This window comes from Homo sapiens, chromosome 8, assembly GCF_000001405.40.
Source record: "Homo sapiens chromosome 8, GRCh38.p14 Primary Assembly".
Taxonomy (NCBI): domain Eukaryota; kingdom Metazoa; phylum Chordata; class Mammalia; order Primates; family Hominidae; genus Homo; species Homo sapiens.
This window is the reverse complement of record NC_000008.11, coordinates 118,176,713-118,199,094: the sequence shown is the minus strand read 5'-3', so window position 1 is coordinate 118,199,094 and position 22,382 is coordinate 118,176,713. Positions and strand designations below refer to the sequence as shown.

Here is a 22,382-nt window from a genome sequence, read left to right as displayed (position 1 = left end):
CTGTTTCCATGTTGCTACATAATCATAATCATCATAATTAGTATTATTTTAATGGCCATGTAATTATCCATCTTGTTAATGTACCATAATTTACTTAACCTAAATCTTCAACAATAAGAGAGTGGTTGCTTCCAATTTTTCCTCTATGATAAATAACCTCTAGTTTACCTATTTGTGCATATAGCTTCTTTCTTTTTTTTAGATTATTTCCTTAGGATATACTCCTAGGAATGGAATTACTACATTTAGGCATATGCATTTTCAATAATTTTTGAATAAATTGACATTATTTTTCCAGTTGACAATGCCATCAACAATAATAGTATTCTGCTTTCAATACAACCTATCAGAAGTATTATTATTTGATATTTAATACACTTACATAGTACCTTTTATTTTTTCATTTTCTCAAAAATAGCAAATGTTAATCAAACACTTGCTTACAAATAGTGCGTTCTGTCATGTTTTGAAAAGCCAGTTAGTTAGATTTGAGAGCCAGGTTTGAAAACTGAGGTAGATTTTTTTTTCTTTTGCATCAAGAATACCTGCTGTGCTTCTCTCCCATTGTCTGATAGTTTTGTGTATTAGAAACTAATACTGATATTTTTCTGAGCAAAACATTCCATTGTACTCATATAATAATTCTTGAAGACCCATGTATAAGGAACTGTAGGGAGTACCCAAATAAAATAACGGGAACTTTAGACAATTTAAATTAGAACACTCAGGAAAATACATTAATATTTTTATACTAGCACTCCCAAGCCCAAAAGCAGGGTTGCAATTCAATTAGTTTAATCTCTGGTCCGATTTTAATGACTTTCTCTATCTAGTCTCTAACCTTCCCAGCTAATCTGACTTCGCAACTAGCAAACTCAAGAGCTCCAGCCATTCCGCTTCCAATATTTTTTTTCTAGATTGCATCCCAAGAAATCTTTCTGATAAATGAAACCCCCATCTCTCTCCCACAATAAAATGCTTCACACCATCCCCAATCTTACCTTGCACCAGACCAAGCAAATGCATGAACCTTCATAATACATGAAATGGTTTCCCAAACTGCAGCCCCGCCATAGGGCTGGATGCCAATTCCAGAGATCTGGTTTTGCCCTCCCTTCCAGGCAGCTTCACCTATTTCTCAGTTGGGTGTCTTCCATGCCTTGCCAAATGGTAGAAAAAAAAATTTCATGAATATAAGCCACTGTAAATCCATCCTGGCATTGAGTAACCATTATTCTGACTAGAGCTTTCTCTTTGGCCTAAGGGTGTTAGGGTTTGTTTGAATAAGATAATTGCTACATATCAGTGCCTGGAAACATAAAGGAAAGAACTTACCATATTTCCCCCTTTTTCTTCTTGCAGCATCATCTGAGGGTTCTCCATAAACACGGTTAGCCTTCCAAGCTGCTGTCCTGCCAGTTGATATGAACATGGCCTGTTCCTCACAGAAAGACTAACCCATGGCACTGCCAGAAGATATCCTTGGATCGTGGACAGATTAACTGGATTAACTGAAAAAAGCACCCATTCAGTCAATATTATGGGTTTTGGAAAAATCTTGCTTTGCTGTGGATTTAAAATGAGGTGCATAATATAATGCCAACTCATTCCAAGTGGTCATTGGCAGACCATTAGCTGGAAAATTGCTTCCAGTTTTCATCACTGTGCATAACTCAAGTTCCCTTTGGGGAGCTGTCTGTGCCCTTCACTAGAAGTCCTGTTTTAGCATGGCAACTACTGGATTATTTTATTATGTGTGCAGATGGCATGATGTTTTAGAAAAAAAAAATTACAGCAATTCTGCAATCTCAGTGGAAGTGTTCACAATATTATGCCCTGGTAGGAATGTAAACACGTCTCGATTATGTTAGTTATGATGTCTAAAGGTATACTGTCCAACTCTTAAGCACTTTATATGAGAACACTACACCAAGATGAATCAGCACATTCAGCACATGTGAGAAATCAAGTATTTTCTTTTTATTTTTATAAATCTTAGTGGTTTTTTTTTTTCCGGCTCAGACTGTCCAAGACAAACTCCACTACTCGCATATCCCCAGTTGTTTGTGGTAGGTTGATGTAAATATGGCCACAATACTGTTAGACTTCACCTCCAGATACTTTATTGAACAACTGGTTTACTTCTAGCACCAAAGGGAAGAAGAAGGGGGTCCAGTGATGGTGATATCTTAGCTTGCTTCTTTGTTCACAGGCACTATTGACCACATGAACATACAGGTACTCAAATACAGGAGGCTTCTATTTGGCTCCTCCAAGGGAGGAGTTCCTCCAAGGGAAAAAAGGGGATGGTATTCTTTTAATCAAAGACCATGGTGGATGGATGGTAAGGGCAACAGAATGCAATTCTTTTGTGTGGTCTGACGTTAACACTTCGGAAAAAATTCTAAGTCAAGTTGAAATCGCCATTCTCTCAAGAGAGAAACATCAAGAGAGAAACATCAAGTGACCCCACTATGTGCCTAGAGAAGGAAAAGGGTCAAGTCCTATACTAGGTTCCTTACTTAGGGTAGAACCTACTAGTCCCTTGTTAATCCTTTCTGGGATTATACCTGTGACTAATTTTTTTTTTTTTAACTATGTCTTACGACAAAGCACAGTCCTGGGAAACCAGTCAACTTAATTATTGCTTGTCTTTGAGCATTAGAGACATGTTCATATTGACTTGCTACATAACACTGTAGCATGTTTTTTCCTGAAAATATCAAGTTGGTTGAATGGAAAGCTCAGCAAAGTATGTTCTGTGTGCCCACTGTCCCAGCCTGGGACTGACGGGCATCAGAGGCTTTGCTTTAAAATATGGGTAACCAGTTCTGGAAGACTTCCAACGCAAGCAAGCTTGGTGTTTTAGGGTGTCTCCAGATACATAAGCATTGTCTGCCTCCGCTCAGGGTCTCAGGAAATACACAGCCCATTGGAAACCACCCACGCCTGAGATTTGGAAACCTGACGGAAAGGGAGGAAGGTCCAAATGAGTCAGCAGCAGGATGACTCACCACAAGCCTGGCAGGCTGCAGAGCCAGAGAAGGGGGCTTCCAACAAGGAACTCAGAGAAGTTGCAGTCACCACCAAGATCTGGCCCTTCGGCAGGTCAGCACCAGGACTGCCAGGCCCTCTGCAGACCGTAATTCTCTTCACATCTATAATTAGGAGGCCAAACTCCAGCTGCCAACACCCTTGGACACAATATTCCAGTCTCCACTGCCCATCTCATGTGGTTCAGTTCTAATAGCAGGTCTTCTTCTTCCTTTCATTCCTTCCTTTATTCAGCAAGCATTTGTTGAGCATCTACTATGTGCCAAGCATTGTGCTTGGGCAACAACAGTCCACAAAGCAGACTCCCCACCTGCCCTTATGAAACTGTATCTCCTCCTCCCCAACATTATCACCACCCCACCATTTCCACAATGAAAACTGAATTCAGACAGCATTCTCCATTCTGCCAGAGTAACCTAGGAAGAAGAACATGGCAGCAGACGGATCCTCAGGGAGGAGGCAGCAGAGTGACAGATGGTAAACTGCATCAGGCCACATATTTGCACCTTTCAGATACAGCCAACTCTTCCAGGGCCTAGACTGAGCTGGTTGGAGCTCCCCAAAGCAGCATTCAGTTGCTTTTCCTTGATATCCACCCTGGCTACCTATATTCCCTTTCTTTATATAGGCACAACCATTCACCACTACGCTGGATTATCTAACACTCCAATTCTATAACTCATCCAGGGGACACACAGTTGAGTCTGATGAAGCCTAAGAACTGCCAGGTGCTGAGATATTGTAACTGGGAATTAAGATTTAGCCAAGGACATTGTGAGACTACTGCTGACTCTCTTGGAAAACTGGACATGCTTTGTAGTGCAAATGTTCACTAAATGATGGTGGTTCATTGTTACTTACTTTGGCCTTTGCAAAATATTCTGAACAATTCAATAAGTAGAGTTTCCTAGTTTGTTTGTTTTTTTAAGTCAAAGGAACGCTGTGAAATTATTGAAAGATGATGGGTGAAGAGGGACCTAGGAGAAGGCAAAATGAAGACCATTAAAGAGCCCCATTGAAGACTGTATCTCTAAAAATGCCTTAATGCCTGGCACATATTCCATATTTGCATATGAACTACTATTCTTTTCCAAACTGTCAACTTCTGTTTGAAATCATTGTGGGGGATAGTTTGGAAATATGGTGGCATAAAATCCAAGCAGTCAAGAGCTAAACCAGCAAAAAAGAGGAATGACTTCATTCACAGGCTTTGGCTTCTTTATTATGTGGTGGTCCTCTGTGATCTCCCATGGTTAACTTCAACTGTGCTGTACTTTCTTCCCAAGATGCATGTACGGAATGTTACCTCCTAGAAATCCAGAAATAGTTGTGGTGAGTTTTGTTTGATAGGAAGCAAGAGGTGGGGAAGTAAAGGATACATATTTTTATGTCTAAGGACTGTAAACTGTTGATGCTTGACTTTTCCTTTTACCTACACCTGTGCTACACCTTTATTAAAAGGCTGACACCCAGACTTGTGCAGGAAAGGCACTCTTGGGAATGAACAGAAATGAATAATTATGAGACTTTCCATGGTGCCAAGGGGATTCGCTTATTTCCACTCCAGAACTGAATATGCAGAGCATTGCCAGTCCTGCTAGTGTGAAAAGCAAATTACTTCAATAGTTTGAGACGTACCTAGGGGAAGAGAGATCCTATCAACTTTCTTTGCGGGTAGTGGCGTACCTTCAAATCCTTGCTCAGGCTCTGTGAGGTGTGCACCCGCAGATTTCACTTCTACCTCCGGAATCCTGGCAAACAAGCCAGGAATCTCTCCAGAGTCACTTCGCAGTTGCTCAGAAAGAGGCTAACGGTCCTTAGTCCTGAGGAAATTCTGCCATTTTTAACATTCAAGGAGAAAAGGCGTATCAGCTGTACGTGAGAATATCAACTAAGGATAAAAACCTCTAATGGATCCCCCTTGTTACTTGCAAATGCTTTCTTTGTCTGCAAATGTCACATAATTGATTTTGCATAGGAACAACAAAAGTCTCAAGGAATTGAAGTTTTTAATACCCCCCTTAGCACTTTACTTTCACCAAAACCTCCTCTTTCTAGTACATGAGCAGTTTTGTTCTTTGTGATGTTTTCCTCTACATTCTTTAGAATAATTTTGTTACTTGACAACTAGACTTGTCAATCGTCTTAGACTCTTTTGAAAAATCTAATCTTTGAAAATGACACAAATTCCTTTATTGCTTTAAGGCTGTTTTCATTCACCCCTCCCACAGCCCCCTCCACTGCACTTTTTTGTTTTTTGCGGGGATTTTTTTCTTTCATCTCTCTTCTTTTAACATGATGCTGTGGGTAGTTTTCAAGAATTCTATAAAGAACTCAACAAAAAGTGTATTTGTTACCTTTTTCCCCAGTCCTAATATTTCTTCTTAAGCTTGATCTTGGTGAAAATTTGTTGCCCAAAAAGCAGTGAGGTAGGGATTAATAACGCTGACCAGTCATCTGGAAGATTAATTAATCCCAGTGCAGCCCTGAGATCAGGAAGGAGGACAGGCCAGGAGATGTTTCTACTCCAGGCACCACTAAGGACTCTATTTCAAAGGCAGATCCTGCTCCTTAGTCTTTTTAGATCTGAATCTAATCCTGAATCCAGAAAATTATCCTATGAATTCTGGTTTATCAACGCACATGATTCCTGGCACCATTGCATAGCTTCAAGGTAAAAGAGAGCCTTGTTTCCATTATTTTGCTATGGTGGCTTTTGGGAAGACAGAGAGCATTCTTTTGAAAGCGGGAAACTTAAGGAAAAGTTGGCCAAGTACACAGGAAAGTTCTACCACACCTTAATATAAAGAACAAAATAGATGCTTCTCATTTGGGGAAAGTAGCTAAAAGGACAGTAACAGTACTGATGGCCTTCTGTCCATCACCTTAGCTCCACAGGGAAAATTCTGGGTGAGAGCAAGCACTGTTTCTAAAATCTAAATTTTTTCAGGTGAAATTTACCAGCAACAAATGTAAAAGGGAACTGCCATCAGGCATAGGGCTAGTTTTATACTTCCTGCCTAACGGCAAAATGACTGAGACATGACTTCCATGGAACAGCAGAAAATGGATGCCAAAGATATCATAAAACTGAAGTTCAATTTGCCACGTAAGGCTATTTAAAAACCCTGATGCACTCCAAGCATTCTTCCTTCAGAGCTTTCCTCCTACAATTATATCAAGCACAAGAAGGCACCAACAGCATATACTTAATGTAATGTAAAAGTAAACATATGACTTGTGTTGAATTACCATTGGCTGGTTGACATAATAAGTGTCATAGATATTTAGACATTATTTCTGATCATACAAAATTATTTTCATAATTTCATATTCTTTTCAATTTTCATAAATTCTTTTCAATTTTCATAAATTGGAGCCAATGGTTTGGGAGGTTTTTTGTTTGTTTGTTTGTTTGGTTGGTTGGTTATTTGTTGCGTTGTTGTTTTCCAAACCTCAGATATTTTGAGAAGCCTTAGAAAGGCTCTTAAGCCCAGGCCTTTTTGCCTCATGTGCAGAGTATTAATAACAGCCCTACTGATGTGAACCTCAAGGAAGGAGGCTATTAAATTAATCCATCACTGGAGATACTAATACCTCAAACAATTAAAACACTGAAGACTCTGCTGGTTGCCTTCCACATTGTTTATAACCTTTTTAAATTCAGTCATTTGGATCAAGAGAAATAAATGGTTGGTTTCATATGGCTTTTGCCACATTAGCACAGACACATCTACCAAATGTAGAAGTCCAGACTGAGTGGATGCATGAGAGCAAACAGATCTGTAATATGATTGCATTTAATCACCGCCACCGCCCAAATTCTGTAAAAATATATTCAAATATGTAATGCTAAAAAAAATGCAAAACAGGAGACTCTTACTAGATCATGCTTTCACTTAGGGTAGGATAACTGATCTTGAAGATAACTTCATAGAAAAATTTGCTGGCTGAAATGCCCCAGGCACCTCAGGGTTGGTCCTGTCCTATTCCACAAACTGATCATGGTCTTCTCCCATCTTCTCAGAGGAGTTAGCCTTGCCTCTAAAATAGCAAAAATGCCATGAAATTATCTTTCTAACCTCTATAGAGACTTCTTATCCAAGTATAATTCCAAAAATATGATTTGAGTTTGAGCATGCCTGTGGTCCTTGATTCTATGATCCCTAAATCAGTTCTACTTTTCTCACTCTCTCTCTCTCTCTCTCTCTCTCTCTCTCTCTCTCTCTATATATATATATATATATATATATATATATATATATATATATATATATATATATAATCTCCAGTATTTTTTTTCAACCACAATTTAGTGCATTTAGCGTGTTAATGTTGGGAACTGCCTGCTGGCTCTATGTCTACTTTTGACAATGCTTATGTCCAGATACCATACAGTGCATTTGAGAGAGGACCAAGGTTATGTTTTCCCACATACCAGCTGCTGCAGAGGTTTCGAAGTGCCTGACCCAGTTCTTTTTCACATCAAAAAGGCCTTCGGTTGCAGATGGAAACCTTAAAGATGAATGTAGAGTGGGGTAGGAAATTCATGTTTGAATGCTGAAACCCTTGTCTTTTTTAGTTTTATTCAATTCCCACCTCAGATCACCAGAAAGGGAGGCCTCTTTGGTGGGTGTTGGCCCTCACTGGGGGTAAAAGGGGTTCTATTTGCTTAAACTCATGCTCGTAGGCAATTTTAGGGCTCTCTGGGGCTCTGAATGGTTTCTCCACCACCACCTTTCTTCCACCAATAGAAAGATGTTGTCCTTACAAGGCCATGTCTGAGAAGACCATGGTTTAACTAGTAAAAGAAGCTCACATTGCAGAGAGCTGAATAATACCAGGCTCTTGACTTTGTACTGTGTGTCACAGTCATGATTGGGACAGAAGGAACCAGTCTGCTGAAAAGTCAAGCCAGCACAAATATTTGGAAACTAATTCCACTGAAACTCTTGTATCATTAAATCATACTATTGTAGTTTCAGTTAATGTAATTATTTAATATCAGGCACTAAATTAAATAGCTTTGCACAAAATTTTAGAAAAGATCAATCTTGTAACAAAATTTAATATTAACAGTAAAAAGCACCTGAGAAAAGAAAATATCGATCTGTTGTGGTTTATATACTTGAGTTATTCTTAGAACTTTGTGGAGATTGACACTGCTCTGATAAAAAGGAAGAAAATGTTTTGAATTCAAGAATGCTAGACTAATAGAAATAGCCCAGTCTCTCTGGGCCACTGCTCTTCAGTATGGGGTGCTCTCTGTCCCTCCTTAGCAGATGGGGTTGTTTGGAGGCTAAAATGAGCTAAGGGAAGAAGCTATACTGTGCCTCCAATATCCCTTATGTGTAATTAGAGTGCCGATCTGGGCTGCAGGCTTTATTCAATGATTCCTTTCCCTTACTTGAGGCTTTCTCTGTAGAGCTGTTATTTCTGAGCCTCCATTCTGGGATTTACAAAGGAAACAGAATGATGAAGAAGTAACAATCAGCATTTTACACACACGCACACACACACACACACACACACTTTTTCTAATATATGAGGCTAGTCTGCAGAGTCCACAGCCCAGGTGTCCATTTATTTCCACTTCTTCACCTCCCAAAGATTTAGAGCTCCATGATCTACCAAGGTGAAGACTGCCAATCCCAGGTTGGAGAAGACCCGTCAGAGTGTGGAGGTGCCAAACTGAGAGGCACAGGAAGCAGACAGCCACATCAAACTTTTTTGATGAACTACTGCAAATTGGTGTTTGTTCTAGGAAAGAAAGAGGAAGAAAAATTACACAATGTGAATTGAACATAAGAGCAGTGCTCTTTACAGAGTATGAGAAGGGAGGATGGGGGAGAATCTGATTAAAAAAATGATTCATTCCTTCACAGACACTAACAAACATGGCTAAAAAGCACATGTCAGAACACAGAAGCCTAGGTAGATGGTTGACATTTTTATAACTTCCTTAAGTGAGTAGTTAAACCAGCAGTCTTAATTCTGTTGGTCTTCCAAGAGTGTTTAATTACATAAGTATTACCTGTATTCATTTCCCACAACTGTTGGGTTTTTCTTTCTTTTTTTTTTTTTTTTTTTTTTTCCTCTGTGCATCCTAGAAAAACTCCCAGGACTAGACTTAGGAGGAGGCAATCAAGTTATGTGGTAAAACAAGAGTGCCTTTTCTGTTGGATATCCACTTTAGTTTCCTGGCTTCCAGGGCATAAGATGTTTAGAAACTTTTTTTCTCTAAACATAAGAATTATTGTGTACCACAATTTTGAACCACCGATTTCCATATCTTCAGCAGCTATCAACTTGCCAATTCCCTTTGGGTCTCCTTTGTATATTCTTATGTTTCCTTCTGTTTCCAGTTGTCCTCAAAAAGAGTTGAGGGGGGCATGACTCTTATAAAATGGATAAAAATGAAACTGTACAGATGTTTGCCTCCCTTGTATCTGTGAGCATGATCTCTATCAGGCTGGAAAATCTGCTTTATCATTTTGTATATTTGACTATTTTGTATTCAGCATTACTTGACTCCTTATGTGCATGGCAATGTATTAAAATGTGGGATTTCTATTACCGTGTAAAAGCGTTTTGATTCTGATTTTCAACATATATCCTTGAAAAAAATTACATTAAACTTTTCTATTTTCTTCAGCTCATCAGCTTGCAGAAGAAAAAGAAAAGTTAACAGCATTTCACTTTCCCTGTGTTAGCTAATGATGCAATTCATGGTGGAAAATTGTCCTCAATTATGCTGTGTTTCTTAGAGAAATAATATATGTGAAATGAATTGATGGCCTCCCTATGGCTCCCAGCACACAGAATTCCCCCAGCACCAAATCCCACCAGCATAATTGCAATGACTGGTGAACTCTTTAGTGTCGAGCACAGCTGGACGATAGATGCAATTCTCTTCACCCCTCAGACATGGTAAACACACTAGGAAGAGATGGGACAACAGATCTTGGCCCACCGATTTCCTCTCACCCCAGAGAGTCTTATGTGCTAATAATAGTATGATTGATGGTATTTCCCAGCACCTCCTGCTCCATCTCTCTAAGATGGTGGCCAAATGTAAGCTATCTGTATTTTATCAATAGAAAGGCTGACCTTCAAATAACATCTGCCCAAGAGACTCGGATTAGAAACCAGTGCTTCCAGACAGATTTGGCATAGCCAGCCTCTAGTGCGGCAAACATCCGCAATACCCTCCACACACCTCCATGTATTGTTAAAGGGCCATTTTTCTCAAACTTAAAAAAAAAATCCCCTGAATAATATGATACACCAAATATAAAAAATTGACCATTTTCCTGCTCTAAACTACCATTTTCACCTTTCCTTTTGTCAAGGAGACATCATAATGAGTACTTATAGACACTCTGACTCTACTGAATATGATGAATTGCCTCAACCAGTACAGGAGAAACACTTCTTTCCCAGAAAGGAAAAAGCACTTATAAACTGCATAAAAAAGAAAGGAGACACCCATTGCCTTTTTTATTACATGCTTACTGTAAATCTAGTGTTTGTTTGGTTTTCTGAGAAAGGTTTCCAAAAGTAAAACCTGTGATAACCTTTTAGGTTAGCTTACTGACTCCACGTATAAATCTTCCAAATCTTTTGATATACCTTGCAACCCTAAAAGCACAATTTTCTCCTACTTCCTCTACTTAAAAGATTTTGAACTTGGAAAATGGAGCCACCTTTTTGTCAGTTAACATTTTTAGAAGATGGTAAAGCCAGAGCCCCCAAACAAAATATTCTCTTTGTCTTAACCTTTTGGGATCATTTCTAACTATTTCTTCTCTTCCTGTCTCTTTCTCTTATGATTTTCTTCCTTTGTTAGTCCTCTGCCTTTAACTTACCTCTCTCTTTTGTAGGCTTGTCTTAAAACCTTTCTGCACGTGCCTTTCTCTTCCTCTATCTCATCTCCTTTGCCCTCCCTTTTTCTCTCCCATCTCTCTCTTTCTCTCTCTTCCTCTCTCTCTCTCTCTCTCTCTTCCAACCCATTTACCCTTCTCCTTCCTTCTTTTTAGGGTAGAGCAGTTATCTGTCTTTGTATCCCCATCTCTTGGCACATTATAATTGCTCAACATCATAGTTGCTCAACATCATAGTTGCTCAACAAATGTTAGGTGAACTGAATTAAACTTGGTGCCATGTTTTTTCTGGCTTATATTCCTTCTGCCTACTGAGCCTAGCAACCTCTGCAAACACTTCATTAAACAAATCAACTCATAGTAATAAAGACTACACCAGATGTGTTTTCTGAGGTACGTGAAAGCTTTAGTTAACATGTTCTCCCCAAACAAGGAGTAGGCAGATTCTCCTATATATCACTTTGCCAATACAAAGAAAAGCCTTCCTGTCATCTCAGCATTTGGGTAACTCATGATGCCTGGGGTAAACATTGTAGCTATATTTTGATCAAAGACAGTGATGTCTGTGAGAAGTTCAGTTGAGACCACCAAAATAATTTTTCAACCTAAGATTATTCAGAATCTTATAAAATCTCTTTTGTGAGACCTAGCAAACGTGAAGTGCAGTGCTGGTTATCTTGTGCTAGAGAAATCCTTAAATGCATTTTAGTTTCCTATTGATCTTTTTTGCCAAGAGCTGGCGCTGGTTGAGGAGATTTTTTTCTGTTAATGATGAAATCATTAGAATTGTTAATACTTTCTCCAGTTTCTATTTATAAGGCATATAGATGTATGTACACTGTAAAATAGCTTTCCCTTATTTTTCACAGACATTGTGCAAATATTGAAAAATTAACTAAAAACAAGCTTTAAGAAAGACAACTGCAATCACATTTTTGTGTAGCACTGGGGAAATACAAAGTGGGACTAGATCATGAGAATTGTATATAGTTGTTTCACAAGTTGATGATGTTCCCTTTCTCACGAGAAGTTGAAAAGTTGACAGGGTTCTATTTTTCCATCATATATCTCTCCTTTTAGTAGTGTAACCCAAATATTATTAGGTTCCCATGGCCCAGTGTCTGCAGGAAAGTTCAAGAGGGGAATAAGAATGCATACGAAAGCATTGCAAGATTTTACTTTGTCCTTCATGATACTTCCAAAACCGAGTGTGTGGGTGGAGATGTGGGTATGAGTTACACAGAAAATATCTTAAAATCCTACTTCCCATCTATGCTACCCTCATTATCCTCCACCCAAAGGCAGCTGCTTCCTTCCGTTTTAACTCTTCTCTCTCTCTCAGGAAGAACCTTCTAAATCTCAACCCTTTTCCATATAACTTTCCCACTTCTGCCTCTCCAGCTCAGCTTTTCTATCCTTGTCATGATTCTCCCTTTCAAAATCATTAAAACAAAACTAGTAAACATTGAATTTTTCTTTAGTGAGAAAAGAAGAAAAAGGGATATGATAATACTATATTTTTCTTAATGATTTTCTTTATCAATTTTTCTTAGTAATTCTTGCCCCAGGGCTGTGAAATTGATGACTCAAAAAAAAAAAAAATGGAGGGTAACAGAAGGTTAATTTGATTGCCATTGATGGTTTAAATTCTAGTTCCAGTAAGTAAGCCTTGTGGGGCTTGAAATCTTTTCATGTTTTAACAAACATAGGTGGATCTTGTGCCATTTGTCCTGTGTGCCAAGAACTGTTCACCTTACTGGTCTAAGTATTGTTGATTCAGAAATGAATGATATTTTTCCTGACTTTAGAGACCTTACACACTAAGAGAAATAAGCAGCTCAACTAATAACTTCTTCTTAAGTAGCCTATATTAAAATGAAAATATCTCTGGAAGGATAACTTAATACCCATTTATTCCCAGATGTTGGGGTTGGGGAGAGATGCAAGAATATTCCATAATCAAGTCAGCTCTGAAAATATGATATATGTACTTTACCCTTGTCCTAGAGACTTGGGATGCCTATTAGCACATTAAAGGCTCTGAGAAGTCTTGCAAGAAATAATCATACACATTTGTTCAATGTAGCACTTTCAAAATTCATTCAAGCATCAACTGTTTTCCCCCAGAGAATACCAATTTACAGCCCATAGAACAAACACTTTTGGAAATACTGTTCTAGACCAACCAGTGCTTCATGGCAATGTTCTTTCAAGCAGGCAAGTGTGCAGACCCTCAGGAAAGAAGTGGTGCCACAGATGGACCCCCTGAGAGGGAGATGGAAACCTGGGGTATAAAAAGTGGGCTAAAAACAAACCTGCCACTTTCTATTAATGAAAATAATTACAAAACAGCTACTACATGTTCAACCCCGTTAGCCTATCACATCCCAGCCTTTTCACCAGCCATGGATGGAGAAGGGGGAACAGTTGCATAACCTTGGACAAGGCTCATATCTCTCTATATTTTAACATTCTCTTCTGGAATATTAGGGGTTTGGAATAGATGGACTCCTGTAATCCCTTTGTAGCACACTACTTCAGTTCAGTTCTAATTTTGTACAAACTTATCCTCAGCTTTGCTTTTAAAGTAAGCACATAATTATTTTGCAGCAACTTGGATGGAGCTGGAGGCCATTATTCTGAGTGAAGTAACTCAGGAATGGAAAACCAAATATCATATGTTCTCACTTATAAGTGGGAGCTAAGCTATGAGGATGCAAAGCCATAAGAATATATAATGGACTTTGGGGACTCTCAGTGGGAAGGGAGAAGGGGGTGAAGGATAAAAGACTACATATTGGGTACAGTTTACACTGCTCAGTTGATGGGTGCACAAGAATCCAAGAAATCACCACTAAATAACTTATTCATGTAATCGAAAACCACCTGAACCCCAAAATCTTTTGAAATAAAAAATTAAATTTATTTAAAATAAAATAAGTGCATAATTAGAAAATCTAGAAGCTTCTAATACACCATAGTTCACTTTCCTTCTTAATTCTAAAGGGTATGTTTTCATTTTACAAATATTTTTGTCTCCCAGGTGTTATAGAAGCAGTTTTTCAAAGAAAACAAAAATTCGGACCACAATTAGAGCAATGATACAAGCACATAGGTCCACAGTTGGTAACTTCATCAACGCAAACAGGTATTGATTTTTTTATTGGTTAAGCCAAAAATCTTTAAAGATTATTCTTGGATACAATGGAATCAGGAAAAAAGAAGTCTTTCAAAGATTTCAAAAAAAAAAAAAAGAACAAATGGTATCAAACTTGACACTCCCTTTGATGACACTCTATTCAAAAATTAAATTAGGGGAATTAGAGAGAGGGTGAATTCAGAACTATATTTTAAAGAGGGAGCCAGGCTTAGCAGGCTCATGCCTGTAATCCCAGCACTTTGGGAGCCTGAGGCAGGTGGATCACCTGAGGTCAGGAGTTCAAGATGAGCCTGGGCAAGATGGTGAAACCCTATCTCTACTAAAACTACAAAATATTAGCCAGGCATGGTGGCAGGTACCTATAATCCCAGCTACTCCAGAGGCTGAGGCACAAGAATTGCTCGAACTGGGGAGCCGGAGGTTGCAGTGAGCAGAGATCACGCCACTGCACTCCAGCCTGGGTGATAGAGTGAGACTCTGTCTCAGAAAAAAAAGAAAGAAAGAAAGAAAGAAATTATTCAGAAAGATCTTCTGCCTAACTCTTAAATAATGACATTTCTGGGAGTGTGTTTTTGTGTTTGTGTGCACATGTGGTACATACACACAGTGATGGAGGTGGAGGCAGGAAGGAAGAGGGAAGAGACTGGGAGAGTTTCAAAGACCTAATTCCCGTTTGGTCAGGTTTACTTCATCTCTGACCCTGGACATGACAGATACATCCCTGCCTTTGTTTTCCTCTTGTATTCATTTCTATTACATTGCCAAATCATTAAATGATGCTGCTCTGTGAAAATAAAATCCTTTTTTAACGGTTTTATATATTTTTTTTTATTTCATTTTGAAAAACAAAGGTTGCTATAATGAGAATCAGTCCTGGTGAGTATGTGATATTGGTCTCTGAAATATGATTTAATTTCCTCTAACAAAGACAGTAGCTCCATTAATTGAGTGCTTACTATGGGTCAAATATTCTTTACATCACCTCATTTAATTCTAACAATATTCTGTTGGATATTATCATTTCCCTGGAGGCCATTATTCTAAGTGAAGTAATTCAGAAGTTGAAAACCAAATATCGCATGTTTTCACAAGTGAGAGCTAAGCTATGGGTATGCAAAGGCATACAGAGTGGTATAATGGACACTTGAGATTCAGAAGGCGGGAGGGTGGGAGAGGGGTGAGGGATGAAAAACTCCCTACTGGGTACAATGTACACTACTTGGGTGATGAGTACACTAAAATTCCAGACTTCCCCACAATACAATTTATCCAGGTAGCCAAAAACCACTTGTACCCCTAAAGCTACTAAAATTAAAAATAATAATAATAGTAAGATATTATAGTTCCCATTTCACACATAAAGAAATTAAGGCTTAAAGGGATTCAATTATTAGGCCATATCACAGAGCTAACCCAGTTATTTCTGACTGGGAAACATAAAAATCTCAACCATTAAACTGTATATCCATGTATTGAGCACCCACTATACACAAAGCACTATGCTAGACAATGAATCCCTTGCCTAACTGGTCCTTAAACTCTTCAGGATCACAGGTACTTTGAAAACACTGATGAAAGCTATGCATGCTCTTTTCAAAAAATGTACCCAATGCACAAACCTTGGCATACCTTTTCAGTGGATTCAAGAAATTTCTGAACCCATCTCATCTTAAGAACTCCTACTTTAAAGAATTGCACAGAATTCAGTTGGTGAAGAAGATATGATAGAAGAAGAAATGTAGCCAGCAATGACTTGGCCTTCAAGTTGCAGCAAAGTTCCTCCCACAGGAAAAGGGGAGGTGGTCATGATTTATTCTACAAGTACTTATTGGGTGCCTCCCTTGTGAGGCCCTGGGAATACAACAGGAGATTGTACAAAGTCCAGTCTTCATGGAGAATACTGCCCAGGAAAGGATGTAGGTAAGTGAGCAGGCATTTGATTTGGAGTCCTCATTCTGCATTTTTGTATTCTTTGATGCTTCTAAGAGTATCCGAAAAACTAGCTAATTCGATATTGGGTGTTTATAGTAAAGATATTGCTATTGCATAATTTCTGTCCCCATGTGTGAAGTTGAAGATATAATGAACATTTCTGTTAACAAAAATATTTTCCCTATTCCCTTTGGTGAAAAGGAAGCAAATACACCTGTTCTTTCAAACACCGTTCCAACATCTGTCTTCCAAAATTGGTATTAATGTATGATATGTCTTTTTGTGCTGTCGCTCTCAAAATTTTAAACACCCTTTTTTGTTCAATGTGTTACTCAATTTGACTTATACTGGGGTGAGATGGCTTTAGTAGGAAACCAAGTAAATACCCAGTGCCCTCACATGGTATAATTTCAGGCTCGTCAAGTTTTTTTTATGTTTATTCAAGAGCTTTTATTTATTCATAACTCATTTATTTCCACGAAGTAGTCGTGGCAATTCATAAGAAAATATACTATAAAATATAAAGCTATAAATAAGCAAAATTCAGGACCAGAGAAAATGTAGCACCATTAGAAGATCAAGACAAGGATGTAGGCATAGCCTATACACTTTGGTCATCTTTATTAAAAAAGAAGCCATAAATTTCATGCCAACCTTACAGGCCATCATAGTGATTTGATACAGGATTTACAACATCCATAAAAATAAACATGAATGTATAATGGAGAATAATGCAAAAATCATGTGAATGTTTAAGAACTGTGCTGAGGGCTATGCCTTCAATACCTAAGAATATAAGCTCAGTCTTCTCTGATGATGGGGGTGAAAAAGTTGTAGATGTATCACCTTAGGAGATGTCAAGTTTTCCTTTCCATGTAAGTCTGAGAAAAATTTCTTAATGTCTCTTTATAGGTGGAACCCCAAGTGAAGCAGTAGACACTTTCCCTGCAGCATATGCAATAAAGGTTTTCAAATATCTGTTTCTTATGATGCCCCTCCGAGGCAGCAAATGACAGAGACTACTGCGGCCAAGTGGAAAAAAAAATTCTGTGGGGTCCAAAATAATGTGGTCTCAGTTTATGAGCTCATCAAATCTTAAGGTTACCTAAAGGACTGAGAATAAGGAATAAGCAAAATACTGTGCTCATGACTAAAGCCCTCTAGCAACCAACCTCAGCTAGAATAGCAATTACGTTTAGAGCATTTGCAATTTGGCAGGTACTTTAATGCACTGTTTTATTTAATCCTTCTAATAACTCCCAGGCAGGGGCATTGGTCAGGACTCTTTCGGCTGCTAGTGACTAAAGCCCAACTCAAACTACCTTAAGCAGAGAGACAGAAAGAGAAAGATTTATTGGATGATGTAATAGAGAAAAACCAGGGCTGGATGGGCTGTTTAGCTCAGTCTCTTAGTATCCACAAGTGGTGCTTTCTTCCATGAATAGCAAAGATGACATCTCACAGTCCCAGCCTTATGCAGAAAGAGACCCTCTCTCATGACATCCACCTGTCCTGAAAATGGACCCTGATTGCCCATTTTGGGGTCACATGCTACACCTTGGCCCAATCAGTGTGTCCAAGAAGATGTGGCTCTCTAATTGGCTGCCCTGTTGTGGGGAAAGTGGATCCCCAGATTGACGGCAAAAGGATCTCATGGAATTTTGAGGTGGCAGCAGCGTTCAGAAGGAATGGATGCAAGGCAGACAAAAATTTGACAGTCCTTACAGTGAGTATTGTGACCTCCACTTTATAGATGAGAAAATAGAGGCCCAAAATAGCAAGTGGCAGAGCCAAGATGTTATTGTGAATCCAACATTAGTCATAAGAGGTTAGATTGTGCTATGGTAACCAGAAATAAAACTTAAAATTTCAATAGTTTAACTGAACGTGGTGGTATGCACCTGTAGTCCCAGCTACTCCAGAGGCTGAAGCAGGAGAATTTCTTGATCAAGGTTGTTCAAGTCCAGCCTGGGCAACATAGCAAGACCCCCATCTCTAAAACAAAAAAAAAAATTTAATACAAAATTTAAAATGTTTTAATAGCTTAGCACACTGAACCATTAATTCTGGCTTATCTTACATGCCTGACTCAGGTAAGGTTGTAGGGGACTCTGTTCCCCCACAGTACTCAGGCTGACAGCGGAGGCTCTAGAATCTGGAAAACCTGGATTCCAGGCCCATAAGCAAAGGAAGAGAAGGGCATGATGTTGGGTGCAGTGGCTCGTGCCTATAATCCCAGTACCTTGGGAGGTCAAAGCAGGAGGATTCCTTGAGCCCAGGATTTTGAGCAAGTCTGGGCAACTTGACGAAACTCTATCTCTACCAAATAGCTGGGTGTGGTGACATGTGCCAGTAATCCCAGCTACTCGGGAGGCGGAGCTGGGAGGATTGCTTGAGCCTGGGAGGCGGAGGTTGCAGTGAGCCAGCATCACACCACTGCACTCCAACCTGGTCAACAGAGTGAGACCCTGTCTCAGCAAATAAATAAATAAATAAAGAGCGAGAGAGAGAGAGAGGGAGAGAGAAAGAGAAAGGCATGAAACACTCACAGCCATAGCCCACTAGACAGAATGAGCCACATTTCTCTGCCTAACTGCAAGATAGTTAGGAAATGACCCAGGGTCAGCGGGTTGGGGGCAGGAATGAGATAGAAGGGAAGGGTCGTGGTGTGTACATGGATATTTGTATTACATATTTTTGGCACATAAATTTCTATAATCCCAAACCTTTGGCTCTCATCTATCGTTTGTCAAACCCATATTCCTTAAGTGCCACAGAAGCAAATGTGAGTAATCACAGTTTCTGGTCAGCCTCTCATCTCGCCTGGCCACAGTGAATGAGACACGGATAGATATTCTAGTTCTCCAGCTGATCCTAGGAGAAAAGATAAAGGATTCAGAACACAGCAGGCTTACAAAGCTGGCTAGCCCTGTGCAGGTGTCATTTCAGCCCCCTGACCTCCTCTCAGGAGCCACAGTTCAGCCCCGTCTACTGGGCACTGAGTCCGGCCGAGGGAGCACCAGCTTTAGGCTGCCGGCAACTGGGCTAAACCTCCAAAACAAATGTACTTTGATGCTGAGTGTTGTTTCTGAATTTAGTCCTTCACACGATTTAAATTGTCATCTTCAGTGGCCACGCTAAGCTGTGATAGTAGATGCTGGTCTGGACTCTGAATGCTGCCTCGTGGCCTTTTGCTGTTGCAAATATCTGATGGTATGAAGGGTAATCCAGATTAATCTAGGCTTTATAAGTACCCACAGTTTTGATCCAAAAATCCTGCCTAGTCCCGTATGTGCATAAGTCAGATAGTAAACCGCAAACACTCCCTTTTGCCTCTTCTGGCCTAAATCAGAATATGACCTAAGTGCTTGGTTGGCATTAGGCCTCTTTCACCTGGGCCTGACTCTAGTAATGACTTCACCTTTAAAAGGTAAGGGAGAAAACCTGAGGCCAGGAGGAAAGAGAAAAGGAAGTTTTCCAAAAGAGAGCTCTAAAAGAAGATAGTGCTCTTAATTTCTTAACTCCTCTGCATCTCCTATTCCAAATACTACCCCTCGTACCTGGCCAACCACATTAAGCATCCCTGAAGACTTCCTTGTTTAGAATTCTTTTTTTTTTTTTTTTTTCGGAGACGGAGTTTCACTCTTGTTGCCCAGGCTGGAGTGCAATGCTGTGATTTCGGCTCACCGCAACCTCTGCCTCCCAGGTTCAAGCGATTCTCTTGCCACAGACTCCTGAGTAGCTGGGATTACAGGCATGCGCCACCACGCCCGGCTAATTTTGTATTTTTAGTAGAGATGGGATTTCTCCATGTTGGTCAGGCTAGTCTCAAACTCCCGACCTCAGGTGATCCGCCTGCCTCAGCCTCCCTACTGGGATTAGAGACATGAGCCACCGCATCCGGCCCCTTATTTAGAATTCTTTACTTTCACGTCCGATAATTGTAGAGAAATTATTGACACTCCCCAAGAATTCCAAATGCTTGCATCCATTGCCAGCCATGGGAGGAGGGAGTCCTGTGGACTATAAACAGAAGTGATGATGCCCACCCAACCCCCTGGGCAGAAGCATGAACAGGCAGACAGCCTCATTCTGTGCTTCTCTTCTGAGCATCCAAGGCTACTTTCAGAGCCACACTTGCCAGATGGTGAGGCTACAAAGAAAGAGGTGCCCCACGTACATTAGACTTTACATGAGCAAGAAACAGCTTTTTGTGTGTGTAATCTGTCGAGATTTCAGGATTTGTCTGCTGTGGCAGTTAGCATTAATTATTCTGACCAATTCAATATAAGAAATGTGTGGCCGGGGGCGGTGGCTCATGCCTGTAAAACCAGCACTTTGGGAGGCTGAGGCAGGTGGATCACCTGAGGTCAAGAGTTCAAGACCAGCCTGGCCAACATGGTGAAATCCCATCTCTACTACAAATACAAAATTTAGCTGGGAATGGTGGTGCTTGCCTGTAATCCCAGCTACTCGGGAGGCTGAGGCAGGAGAATCACTTGAACCCAGGGGGTGGAGGTTGCAGTGAGCCAAGATTATGGCACTGCACTCCATCCTGGGTGACAAGAGGGAGACTGTCTAAAAAAAACAATTTTTTTTAATTTAAAAAAAACCTAGTGTTTGAAAAATCATACAATGGGTTTTTATGCTTTGCAGGAAGTACTTTGTCCAAAAGAGCCAAAACTTAGTATATAATTCCTAAGTGTCCCTCACTTTTTTCAGATGTTTCTTGCATGCATTTCCATAAGTGTGTCTATGGTCTTTAAGCTTCTTTTCCTTTGCAATTGAACAAAACGTTGCTTGGCTTAAAATAAGATTTACCACTTTCAACTGATTAATAACCTCAATTTAGGTTTTAACTACACTAAATGTATGGGGCTTACGCTTGTTAACTCTAGTCTCAAACATTTAGTGTTTTATTTTCCATTTGTTCTTATAAAATAATAAGAAAAACATAAGAAAATACTGTACTCATGGAATTACCCAAATATACCTGGATAGCCAAAACTAAACTGCTGTTTGACAGGTTGGGCCACCGTATGATGGCTTCAGGTTTTCAGATTTATGGACGTTTCAATTCAGCATAGGAACAGTGGTTGCGAGGTTTCAAGAGAAGTGTATGGCAGTGTGGTTAGACCAGATGGGAGCAGATAAACCTGCATGTGTGTCAGCCACCTGGGATTCTGAAAGGGCCTCTTCCTACCACACACTTGCCCAACTCAGTTTGTTCTCCACATGGCACAGAGAATGATCTATTCAAAACATCAATCAGACCACATTGCTTCTCAGTTTTTAATTTCTAATGGCATCTCCTTTATGTTGTTTTTTTATTTTATGTTTTTAAAAACAGGATCTCACTCTGTCAGCCAGGCTGAAGTGCAGTGGTGTGATCATACCTTACTGCAGCTTCAAGCTCCTGGGATTGAGCAATCCTCCTGCCTCGGCCTCCCAAAATGCTGGGATTACACCCATCTATGAGCCACCGTGCCTAGCTTCCTTCCCAGGCGTTAATCCTCACTGGTGGCTGGGCACAGGGGCTCACGCCTATAATCTCAGCACTTTGGGAGGCTGAGGCACAAGAATTGCTTGAGCCCAGGAGTTTGAGACCAGCTTGAGCAACACAGTGAGACCCTGTCTCTACAAAAGATTAAAAAAAAAAAGTTAGCTGGACATGGTGCATGCCCATAGTCCCAGCTACTCAGAAGGCTGAAACAGGATGATGGCTTGAGCCCAGGAGGTAGAGGCTGCAGTGAGCTATGATTGTACCACTGCACTTTAGCCTGGGTGACAGAATGAGATCTTGTCTCAAAAAAAAAAAAAAAAAAATTCTCTGTGGCTTCCCCTTTAGACTTAATACAAAATTCAACTCAACTCATGAGCAGCTCCATAAGCTCTGCATCATCTGCTACCAACTGCCTCTCCAACTTCTCCTCTGGCCAACACTCTCCCTTTTGTTCATGCCCAATTTTGTGATACCCGAAACGCATCCACTCATTCCCATCTTGGGACCTTACTATTCTCCATGCCTAGGCTTATGCACTGCATCACCACGTAACTGTTTCTTTCTCAACACTCTGGTCTTTTCTCAAATGCCACATCTGTAGAGAAACTTTTTCATCACCCAAATGACCACTTTCCCACACAAACAGACAGTAACAAAAACAGCTATGAAGGACATTTACGGGAAAACTGAGGAAAATTGGAATTTCATTCCATGTTAAATACTATTGTTATATACTACAATAGTGGTTTTTTTTTAATTTTAGGTTCAAGGGGTACATGTGCAATTTGTTACATGTGTAAATTGTGTGTCACAGGGGTTTGGTGTACCAGTAATTTTGTCACCCAGATAA

At 39.9% G+C, this 22,382-nt stretch overlaps 1 protein-coding gene across 4 annotated transcripts in view; it reads left to right on the top strand.

Annotated features, from left to right (window-relative positions):
• Positions 1-22,382, top strand: part of SAMD12 (sterile alpha motif domain containing 12) — a 490,139-nt gene that overhangs the window by 422,869 nt on the left and 44,888 nt on the right. For 3 of the 4 annotated variants that reach the window (NR_109794.3, NM_001349811.2, NM_001101676.2), the window contains one exon: positions 1,363-9,627. The exons of the other annotated variant lie outside the window; for it this stretch is intronic. Coding sequence is in view for 2 of the 3 variants with exons in the window: in NM_001349811.2 (NP_001336740.1) it covers positions 1,363-1,385 (23 nt within the window). In the remaining variant the exon portion in view is untranslated. Of the gene's footprint in view, positions 1-1,362; positions 9,628-22,382 lie in introns of those variants that run through there. 4 annotated transcript variants of the gene reach the window in all.